Source organism: Homo sapiens, chromosome 7, assembly GCF_000001405.40.
Source record: "Homo sapiens chromosome 7, GRCh38.p14 Primary Assembly".
NCBI lineage: Eukaryota > Metazoa > Chordata > Mammalia > Primates > Hominidae > Homo > Homo sapiens.
The window spans coordinates 158302874-158315054 of NC_000007.14; the positions used below are offsets into that span (position 1 = coordinate 158302874).

Below are 12181 nucleotides of genomic sequence, written 5' to 3' on the forward strand. Positions count from 1 at the left end.
AGTCCAGAGGCTATGTGGCAGGAAATGACACAGAATGAGTGGGAGGCAGAGATGAGAATCCAAGTGTTTTCTGTTAAATGAAACAATGAGATATGCAAAAGCGTGAAACAAGAATGTAAAAATGTAAAACAAAAATGTCACACTTAGCACTTTTTTATGTTTTGGAAAATATAGCTACTGTGTTTATAATGAAATAATTTTATGATTTATTTTAAAGTGAATTAATAAACAGCTTTTCTAAAGTGTTGGCAATTTTAATTTCTAAGGTAACAAATGTGGATAGCACTAACCCACCAAAAAAAAAAAAAAAAATTCTTTGGAGTCTTCAGTAATTTTCAATAATAGGATGTGATCCTGAGAACAACATTTTAAAAATCACGGCTCTGCACTCTGCTGCTGGGAGTTTGGAATTCCGCTCTCCATTCCACACCAGCCGAAGGACCCCAGGAACACCCTGTAATCCCTCTGTGATTCCGTCTCTTTAATCTGCTAAATAAAGAGATGTAACTTCCCTACAGCAAAAGGAAAGCACCAGTAGAATTCTGTAAGTTAAAACTACTGTTAAAATTTTACTGCTCTATACTATATCCAGTATTCCCTTCTCCATTATTCTATGAAAATTTTAACAAAATGCATTATACTAATTTACCATACAGGATTAAAATGTCATTAAGCTTGCAATGTGTAAACCTTAAAACAGCTGGATAAAAATTTAAGACAGGAATAAGAAGAAAGCCATTCATATTGTTGGTATATAAAACAAGCTTCAGAGAGTGTTAGTCCCATTTTATTCATGGAAGAAAATAAATATGAAGACACTGAAATCACCTGGAGAATTTTTAGGAGATGCTGATGGCAGGCCTCATATGAGACAAATCAATTCAGAATCTTTGAAGGGTAAGCCCCAGACACCATGGTTTCCGAGGCTCCCAAGTTATTTTAATATAACGTCAGGGCTGACAACTACTGCTCCTGTTGATGAAGAGGGTCAAACTCTGAAAACTATTTGAAGAAATGTATTCTGAGCCACATGTGGGTGACCAATGGCCCAGGCCACAGCCCCAGGAGAGCCTAAGATCATGTGCCCAAGGTGGATGGGCTTCAGCTTGGATTTCTACACACTAGGGAGGCATAAGACATCCAACAATACACTAAGATGTGCACAGGCTTGGATTTCTACATGCTAGGGAGGCATAAGACACCCATCAATACACATAAGATGTACACAGGCTTGGATTTCTACATGCTAGGGAGGCATAAGACATCCATCAATACACATAAGATGTACACAGGCTTGGATTTCTACATGCTAGGGAGGCATAAGACATCCATCAATACACATAAGACGTACACAGGCTTGGATTTCTACATGCTAGGGAGGCATAAAACACCCGTCAATACACTAAGATGTACACAGGCTTGGATTTCTACATGCTAGGGAGGCATCAGACACCCGTCAATATGCTAAGATGTACACAGGCTTGGATTTCTACATTCTAGGGAGGCATAAGACATCCGTCAATATGCTAAGACGTACACAGGCTTGGATTTCTACATGCTAGGGAGGCATAAGACACCCGTCAATACACTAAGATGTACACAGGCTTGGATTTCTACATTCTAGGGAGGCATAAGACACCCGTCAATAGGCTAAGACGTACACAGGCTTGGATTTCTACATGCTAGAGAGGCATAAGACACCCATCAATACCCTAAGATGTACACAGGCTTGGTCCAGAAAGATGGGAAAACACTAAGCAGGGTCTTCCAGGGCATAGGTGAATTCAAAGATTTCTGAATGGCAATTGGTTGAGTTTATCTAAGGACTGGGAATCGGTAGAAAGAGTGTCTGGGTTAAGATAAGGGACTGTGGAGACCAAGGTTTTTATTATGCAGATGAAGCCTCCAGGTTGCAGGCTTCAGAGAGAATAGATGGTCAATGTTTATCAGACTTGAAAAGGTGCCAGACTCTTAATTAATTCCCTCTTGGATCAGGGAAAAGACCTGGAAAGGAAAAGGGATTCTCTACAGAATGTAGACATTTCCCAGGAGAGACAGCTTTGCAAGCCATTTAAATATATCGCAGAAATATATTTTGGGGTAAAATACTTCCATTTCTTTCAGGGCCTGCAATCTGCCATGTTGGTACCTTATAGCTGCAAAAGGTCTGCTTTGTCTGTCTTCACGCCTCTGTTCCAATGTTAACGCTGGTCAGCTGTGCCTGGACACCAAGGGAGGAGGGTAGGATAAGGTGTGTCCAAACACCCCTTCCCATCATGGCCTGAACTAGTGTTTCAGGTTTACTTTAGAGTGCCCTTGGCCAAGAGGAAGGGTCCATTCAGCTGGCTGGGGGACTTAGAATTTTATTTTTGGTTTATACTCTAAAGCCAAGAGTGGCTTCTTTCCTTCAGTGCAGAGGAATCCAACGGATATTTTTAACAAGGAAAGGACAACAGAAAAAATAGGGATTCATTTTTATATTAGACAAAACATAGAGCTAAAGATAGAGGGAGAGAGGGAGGGAGGGAGACAGTGGTGGAGGGAGGTGGAGAGAGAAAGAGAAAAAAAGATGGATGTGGCCATGGCAGCATTGTTTTTGGGTATTCCCCAATTCCCACATAAAACAGACGGAGCAACTAGACAAGGAAATCAACAAACCAAGATCACACTTAAATCAAACTGAAGTGAAGCTGTCCCCAGCTAGTGATCCCCAAGGCGATGTCCAGATGAACGTTGAGGAGAGGACCAGAGAAAAGCAGCCTTAGGAAGTAGCTGTAGACATCAGTGAAAATGGCAAAGAACCTTAAACATTCCCTCCTTCATAAAAGCAATGAGAAAACCACCCAAAAATATCAGAATCAACTTTTACAGAACTCTGGAAATTAACTAAAGGCTAGCAGAAATCAGAGCAATTTACTCAAAAAAAAAAAAAAAGAAAGAAAGAAAAAGAAAGAAATGGCTGAATCTCAGCAAGAACAGCGAACTTCCTGGCATCTTAACTCACCCTATTTCCAGCTCCCTCTCCTCAGCTCTGCCACAGGCTTGAAAATGAGCAGCCCACAATGGCAGTAAAAACCAACAGCCTGGAAGCCACCAGAAAGCACAGGGTGGGGTTAGAGTGCCTTCAAAGCCCCATTCCCAGAGAATTGTCACTACTTGACCTGTCTGGTTGTTCCCTGGAGGACCCACTGGAAAGGCTGTCTTTATTTCATCCAACTCAAAGCTCACATATGTGAAAAGTCTTTCCCTGGGGGCATTTGTTGAAAACATTTAGAGACAATGTTTTACTTACCAGCCACCTGAGGTAGAGGATAATGGTTGGGACAAACAATAGGCTAACCAGAAAGCTTGAAGGAAAAGCTGGAAAATGAGATGTGCACAGGTGCTTTGCAAAGCTCTGACACGATCCTTGGAATATGGATGGCCACAACACATGGAGGGCTGTGTGCCTGCCCAGGCTGTGCACACTCAGGGAAGACATGAGGCTCTAAGCTCTCACCACTGGCTGATGTAGAGGCTCTGGGCCAGCATGAAGTGAAGGCTACAACAGAGCTGTGAACTGCCTGTCTGATGGCTGAAGGTATGCCCCACACTCACACAGAACCCTCAGCAGAGACTGAGGCTTGTTTCTAGGCATTTAAGGCAATCTGTCTGGTCATCTGACCACTAACCAAACTGAGCAGAGACTTGGTGGCCACACATGATGAAAAAACACAAACTTTACAGAATTAGTTCAGAATAGTCACTAAGCAAGCAAACAACAATAAACAGCAACAACAACAACAACAACACCTAAGGAGAGGGAAATTCTGGTTTTCAAAGTTGCCACACTATGTTATTTAAAATATTGAGTTTTACTAAAAATTTTTGAGGCATTCAAAGAAACATGCAAATGTGCCTCTTCCACAGGAAAACAATAGAAGCTGTTCTTGGGGAAGCCAAATGGCTTACAAGACAAAGACTTTAAATGAGCTGTTTTTTGTTTTTTTTTTTTTTTTTTTTTTTTTTTTTTAGACAGAGTCTTGCTCTGTCATCCAGGCTGGAGTGCAGTGGTGTGATCCCAGCCTACTGCAACTTCTGCCTCCCAAGTTCAATTGATTCCCCTGCCTCAGCCTCCCAAGTAACTGGGATTACAGGCATGCACCACCATGCCCAGCTAATTTTTGTATTTTTAGTAGAGACGGGGTTTCACCATGTTGGGCAGACTAGTCTTGAACTCCTGACCTCAAGTGATCCACCCGCCTCGGCCTCCCAAAGTGCTGGGATTATAGGCATGAGCCACTGTGCCCAGACTAAATGAGCTATTTTTAATGTGCTCCAAAAACTGTAAGAACAATGTCTAAAGAGCTAAATAAAAGTAGGAAAATAGTGTCTCATCAAATAGAGAATATGAATAAAAAGATAGAAATTATATTTCAAAAATAATTGAAAAATTCAGTACAGCAGCTCAACAGCAGATCTTAGCAGCAGAAGAAAGAATCAGCAAACTTCAGGATAGGTCAACTGAAATTATCCAGTCTGAGGAACAGAAAAAAAAAGAATAATAAAAAATTAGAAACCTGTGAGAGACCATCCAATGTACTGAGATACACGTAAAGGAAGTCCCAGATGTAGGAGAGGAAGAATGAGGTAGAAAGAATATTTGAAGAAATAATGACCCAAAATTCCCAAAACTAGATGGAAAACATGAATCTACATATCTAAGACACTCAATGAACTCCAAGTAGAATAAACTCTAAGACAGCCACACCTAGATACATCAAAATCAGACCTTCAAAACCCAAAGACAAAGTAAATCTAATGAAAGCAGTAAGAGAGAAGCAACTTGTCACACATGTTATGGACTAGATATTTGTCCCCTCCAAAACTCATGTTGAAGTTTAATCCCTAATTTGGGAGTATCAGGAGGGAGGAGGAAACTGGGTCATGAGGGCTCTGCCCTCATGAATGGATTAATCCACTCATGAATTAATGAATTAATTCATGTGGGTTATCACAAGAGGGGACCTGGTGACTTTCTAAGAAGAGGAAGGGAGACCTGAGCTAGCACACTAGCATGCTCAGCCTCCTCATCATGTGATACCCTGTGCCACCTCAGGACTCTGCAGAGAGTCCCCAACAGCAAGAAGACCCTTACCTGATTCTGCCCCTCAACCTTGAACTTCTCAGCCCAGATACCTGTAATAAATAAATTCCTTTTCTTTATAAATTACCCAGTTTCAGATATTCTGTGATAAGCAACAGAAAATAGGCAATGATCCTCAATAATATTAACAACTAATTTCTCATCTGAGACTATGAAGGCCAAGAGGCAGTGGAATGATATATTCAAAGTCCTAAAAGAAAAAAGTCTATCAACCAAGAATTCTATATTCAGAAAATCGATCCTTCAAAACTAAAGGAGAAATCAATACATTCCCAAACAAAAAACAAAGAGAATTTTTTCCAACAACCCTTCCCTAGCAAGTTCTAAATGGAGTACTTTAGGCAAAAATGAAAGGACATTAGACAGTGAGTTGTATCCAGATGAAGAAATAAACAGCACCAGTAAAGGTCATTATTTAGTAAATATGAAAGACAGAACAAATATTTGAGTATGTAACATTTATTTTCTCCTAATTTTCTTTAAAAAACCTGCATAAAGCAATAATTATAAATCCATGTTGATAAACATACAATCTATAAAGATATAATTTTCATGACAATAACAGCACAAAGGAGGGAAAGAGAAAAAATGACAGAGAGTGTTTGAAAATTAAGTTGGTATTAATTCAACTAGATTATTATAAAGATCTTAATGTTAATTTGAATTAATAATTAAATTAATATTAACTTGGTGTTAATAAAATTAAATAATATTAATCTTCTAGCAAACACTAAGAAAGCAACTCAAAAAATAATCAGGAATGAAAAGACATTATTACTGATCTTACAGACATAAAAATTACAAGGACTATACAGAAATACTATAAGTAATCATATGCCAACAAACTAGATAATCTAGGTGAAATTGACAAATTCCTATGAAGACATGAACTACTGAAGCTGACTCAAGAAGAAATAGAAAATTTGAATATGCCTATAATAATTAAGGAAATTCAATGAGTAATTTAAAACCTCATAAAGAAAAGCCCATGGTCAGATGGCTTCCATTTGCAATAGCTTCACTTCAAATGTTTAAGGAAGAATTAACATCATTCTTTCACAGTCTTCCAAAAAAAATAAAGAAAGAATACTCTTCAATTAACTTGATGTGATGGTTAATATTGAGTGTCAACCTGATGGGATTGAAGGATGCAAAGTATTGATCCTGGGTGTGTCTGTGAGGGCATTTCCAAAGGAGATTCACATTTGAGTCAGTGGACTGGGAGAGGCAGACCCACCCTCAGTCTGGGTGGGCACCATCTAATCAGCTTCCAGCATGGCCAGAATAAAAGCAGGCAGAAGAACACAAAAGTAGTTTAGTCTTCCAGCCTACACGCTACTCCCCTGCGGGATGCTTCCTGCCTTCGAACCTCGGACCTCAAGTTATTCAGCTTTAGGACTCAGACTGGCTTCCTTGCTCCTCAGGGCCTATTATGGGACCTCACCCTGTGATCGTGAGTCAATACTCCTTAAAATACTCCCCTTTATATACACATCTATCCTATTAGTTCTGTCCTTCTAGAGAACCCTGACTAATGCATTTGACAAGTTATGTATTACTATAATACCAAAACCAAAGATATCAAAAGATTAAGAGATATCCTTTATAAATACGGACATAAAAATTCTCAACGAAACACTAAGATACTAAATCCAGAAACATATAAAAAGAATTATACAGCATGGTCAAGTAAGACTTATCCCAGGAATATAAGATTAGTTCAAATATAAAAACTAACCAATGAGATACACTATGGTCATAGAATACACATGCTATGATACAGACTGAATGTTGACATCCTCCCCAAACGTACGTGCTGGAATTCTGATCCCCAGTGTGACAGCATTAGGAGGTGAAGGCTTTGGGGGTAATTAGGTCATGAAGACGGCGCCCATGCAGGTGGGATTAGTGTCCATACGAAAGAGATCCCAGAGCGCTCCCTTGCCCCGTCTGCCACATGAGGACACGGGGGGAAGATGCCACCCATGAACCAGGAAGCCACCCACCACCAGACACCAAATATGGGGGAGCCTCCAGAGCTCTGAGAAATCAATGTTTGCTGTTTCAGCCACCCACGCCATGTGATTTTTGTGACAGCAACTCGAACAAGAGAAAAATTGGCACCGGGAAGTAGCAGCACGGCTGTGACAAATTCCTAAAAATGCAGAAGCAACTTTGGGTCTGGGAAACTTGTTGAGGCTGAGTCTTGAGGTGTGTGCTGGAACAAGCCTCCTTCGCCATGGATGAATTTTTAAAAGTGCTTGTGTTGAGAGATCAAAAGGAAGACAAAGCAGTATCTCTTAGAGAACAGCTCGGCCATCATGAATGGAATGCTGGGAGGATGCAGACAGAGCATTCTGTGAGGCCTGGGAAAGGAGGAACACACTATCGGACGGTGGAGAAGAGGCTGTGCTCCTCGCAGAGTGGTGAGGACCATGGCCGAATGCGTTCATGCTCTGGGCTCCTGTGGAAGGTAGAGCTTGTGAATGAGGAATTGGAAACAGTGCACCTCAGTGGCAGAGGGCCTCACAAATGGCCGGCCGGAGATGGGGGCTGGGTGGAAGGAGCCACTGGGCCTGCTCGGGAGGTTCCTCCATTGCCCTGCGCAGCCTGAGCCAGACAGAGCGCAAATCCCACGGAGGGCGAGCCCTGAGCCGGACAGAGCGCAAGTCCCACGGAGGGCGAGCCCTGAGCCGGACAGAGCGCAAGTCCCACGGAGGGCAAGCCCTGAGCCGGACAGAGCGCAAGTCCCACGGAGGGCGAGCCCTGAGCCGGACAGAGCGCAAGTCCCACGGAGGGCGAGCCCTGAGCCGGACAGAGCGCAAATCCCACGGAGGGCGAGCCCTGAGCCTGACAGAGCGCGAGTCACACGGAGGGTGAGCACCACGCGTGACTCCAACACACCCACCTGTGCTCACCAGACGTGAGCCAGACGTTCTCCCTCCCCAACCCCACACCACACATCTGCCTGGAGGTCGGGTAGGGGGTGGATCTCAGCTCCTCTCAGCAAGAAGGAAAGCCTCCAAGCTCCAAGGGCCCAGGATGGGAGGTAAAACAAGACAGGCGAGCACAGGGAGGGCGCAAATAGAGTGGGCAAGGAGGAGGCAGAACCCGGCTCCCCTGACCTGTGCCGGCAAGCACGTCCCCAGCAGCAGCTCCCCGGATGCCATCCCAGCCAGGACCCGTGCGGCCAGCCTTGGATTTCTGTGTTCCAGTCCACATTATTTAGGGATTTATTTTCCTTCTCTTTTAAGGAATGATAACACTGTTTTATGTACATATTTGGTTTTTTTGCTTTTTGCTTCTGACATGCAGCTCAATAAGTCAGAAGATTCTTACCAGGAAATGAATCCACAGTCGTTTTCATGACAGCAAATTGCATGCCAACGAGTGACATTTAAATGCTGAATTTTAATGGCTTGTCAGAAAAAGTGAAATGTATTTAAAAAAAAATCATACATGAGAGAGCAGTGTGTCTGCCCATGAAATAATGCTGCCTGTAGTAGACAAGAATGGTAAAAACACAGTGAACGTATTTTGTTCTGTGATGTACACATCTACCTGGAGGAAGAAGGTTGTGAAATTAACTCCCATTTACCCTCCTCTTCGTGCAGAAGACTCTGAAGGCCGCGCAAGCAGCTGTCTGTCAATGAATCTGACAACTGCACCTGCAAGAAGTGGCCTGGATGAAGACGACAGGCAGAAGCACAGGATCAACTCTGTTTCAAGCGCAGTTACCAAGACAGAATCATTTCTGGAATCCTGAAAAACCTGCATATGAACATGCTCACGTGTAGACACCCACACACATGCACACACACCTGCACACACACTCACATGCTCATGTGTAGACACCCACACACCTGCACGTGTAGACACCCACACACGCACACACCTGCACACACATGTGCTCACGTGTAGACACCCACATACCTGTACATGCACTCACGTGCTCACATGTAGACACCCACACACATGCACACACACCTGCACATTCACATGCTCACGTGTAGAGACACACACATGCACACACGTGCTCACATGTAGACACACACACGTGCACTCATTCACATGCTCACATGTAGACGCCCACACAAGGCAAACACACGTGCTCACGTGTAGACAGCCACACATGCACACACACCTGCACATGCACTCACATGCTCATGTGTAGACACTCACATGCACACACACGTGCTCACAGACACCCACACACATGCACACACACCTGCACACGCACTCACGTGCTCACATGTAGACACGCACACATGCACACACATGTGCTCACACAGACACCCACACACATCTGCACATGCACTCACGTGCTCAGGTGTAGACACACACACATGCACACATGCACACATACCTGTACATGCACTCACATGCTCACATGTAGACATACACACACATGCACACACCCCTGCGCACTCATTCACATGCTCACGTGGATACCCACACATGTACACACACGTGCTCACGTGTAGACACCCACACACACGCACAGACACCTGCACACACATGTGCTCCAGTGTAGACACCCACACGCAAAACCTCCCTACTCAAACACTCCCCCCATGTGAGGCTGACAAAACTCAGGAAGACACCAGGATTTGAGATTCTTTCCTTCAAGTGTGCATGCATGTGTGCCTGCCTGCACACATGCATGCACACCTGCACACTCATTCACGTGCTCACATATAGATACCCACACACACACACCTGCACACTCATTCACGTGCTCATGTGTAGATACCCACACACGCACACACACCTGCACACTCATTCACGTGCTCACGTGTAGATATCCCCTACACGTGAGCATGGGTGTGTGTGCATGTGTGTGGATGTCTACACATGAGCATGTGTGTGTGCAGGTGTGCATGCATGTGTGGGGATGTCTACATGTCAGCATGTCAATGAGTGTGCAGGGGTGTGTGCGTGTGTGCATGTCTACATGTGAGCATGTGTGTGTGCAGGTGAGTGTGCAGGTGTGTGCGTGTGTGGGTATCTACACATGAGCACGTGAATGTGTGTGCAGGTTTGTCTGCGTGTGGGTATCTACATGTGAGCATGTGTATGAGTGTGCAAGTGTGTGTGCAAATGTGTCTGTGTCTACACGTGAGCATGTGAATGCATGTGCAGGTACGTGTGCCTTCGCAGCATGCCCACCTTCCAGAAGCCTGCATCCTGGACTAGACACACCAATGGCCCTGGCAACCAAAGAGGCCTCCTGCCACAGGGTCGTCCTCCTGCCACGGGGTCATCCCCAGGGTTTGCTGGAAATGCCCACCCCAGGACACACCCCACAGCTGTGTCAGAACCAGCTGGGAAGGTGTCAGCAATTCTGTGTCCCCACAATGCAGAAGATGACTTTTCACTGTCTAGAGAGTCCAACAGCCCAGGACACACAGTCCCTGGGGATGGAGCTGGGCAGAGGGCTCCAGCTGCCCAGGCCATGGGCAGTTCTGATACACCTGGGCAGACGCTCAGCCAGGGCCTGAGCAAGACTGGAGATGCAGGGCTGCCTGGGACCTCTGTCTCTATGCAAGGATACCTACGACCCCCCATCTCCACATGGGGCTGCCTGGGACCCCCCTATCCCCATGTGGGGCTGCCTGGGACTCCGTCTCCATAAAGATGCTCTTATCCTCAAGAACAGGTGCCAGGAATGTGGACATAGCCTGACACTCGGCACAATATTAATTTTCTCTGAGATGGTTTTCCTTAGGAGTTACCTTTTGCCATTATTTGGTTAGATTATTGTCATGTAATTTAAATTCATGGATATATGAGACAAACTAGAAAAAGCTATTGCTTTAAAATCATAGGTGAGAAAACTCATCTCTGTTGGGGAATTCGGGGCCACTAGATATTTTTCTATCCCTCCTTTTGAAACTCACCTTAAATTTCTTGGTTTTTTTCTAGTTTGTCAGGCTGAGAGTCTTGTGCATTCTCTGGTTTCATTTCATCCCAGGACGCCCACCCAGGCAGGGCCCCGGAGCCCTTGTGGCACTAGCTCCCATGACAAGGGAGCTCAGGTGAACTCCGGCACCCTGCCCCCGCCACATCTCAGCACAGGATAGCACAGAAACGTGATGATGTTCAGTGCCAGTTGCCAGCACATGGTGATAGCTACATACATACCTAGAGCCGGGCTGAAATTACGCTCAGGGGAAGTTCTGAAAGAGTCACGCCCATTCTCATTGAAAGACCCCTGGCCTCCACTCGCACGTCCAGCCATCAGAGTGGCAAAAGCTCATCTGTTTGCTCCTTAAATGAGGCTTTTCCCTCTTCTCAAGATAATAAAGTGAAGGGTGAAACACAGAGTAAGGCTCACAAGACAAGCAAACTCAGAAAATGTGACACAGTTGAATATTTACACAACCTTCCTTCAATATGGCTCGCTCCATGTTTGTCCCTGCGTGGGCAGCATTCCGTCTGTGTCATCTACATTGATACCCATATCTACGTGCCCTGCCAAGCCTGGCACTGGCCTGCGCACAGCACCCCATCGCCAAACGACAGTGGCACATATGGAGCAGGAGCTGGGCCCAAGCCGCCCTGGAGGCTCCCGTGGGGAAAGGGCTCAGGAGTCCAGTGTGGCCTGGAGTGTGCATCAGGGAGCTGCCCGGCGCCCTGGCCCACACCGCCACACGCGTTTCTCTCAACCCGCAGTTTGGCTTTGTGGAGGGTTCCCCATGGACTTTGGGCTCAGGTGACTTGGGCTTTGTTTGTGGGTGGTTCTGTGTAATGCACAGGCACCACCCAAAAGCAGACACGTGTAGCACTACACACCACCCATGCTGGGACCCCCTGAAGGACAGAGGTGAACCCGGAACCCCTGTAGGACAGAGGTGAACCCGGGACCCCCTTAAGGACAGAGGTGAACCCGGGACGCCCTCAAGGACAGAGGTGAACCCGGGACCCCCTAAAGGACAGAGGTGAACCCGGGACCCCCTGAAGGACAGAGGTGAACCCGGGACCCCCTGAAGGACAGAGGTGAACCCGGGACGCCCTCAAGGACAGAGGTGAACC

The 12181-nt window shown here is 45.3% G+C and overlaps 1 protein-coding gene across 14 annotated transcripts in view, besides 1 other annotated feature; it reads right to left on the reverse strand.

Moving 5' to 3' along the window:
• PTPRN2 (protein tyrosine phosphatase receptor type N2) overlaps nt 1-12181 on the reverse strand; it is a 1048768-nt gene that overhangs the window by 763818 nt on the left and 272769 nt on the right. The window lies entirely within an intron of this gene.
• Nucleotides 7859-8371: an enhancer, noted in NCBI's record as "H3K4me1 hESC enhancer chr7:158103424-158103936 (GRCh37/hg19 assembly coordinates)". NCBI's record gives its function as "activates a minimal SCP1, AML or CMV promoter by ChIP-STARR-seq in primed H9 embryonic stem cells {active_cell/tissue: H9 hESC(primed)}" and the evidence as "EXISTENCE:reporter gene assay evidence [ECO:0000049][PMID:30033119]".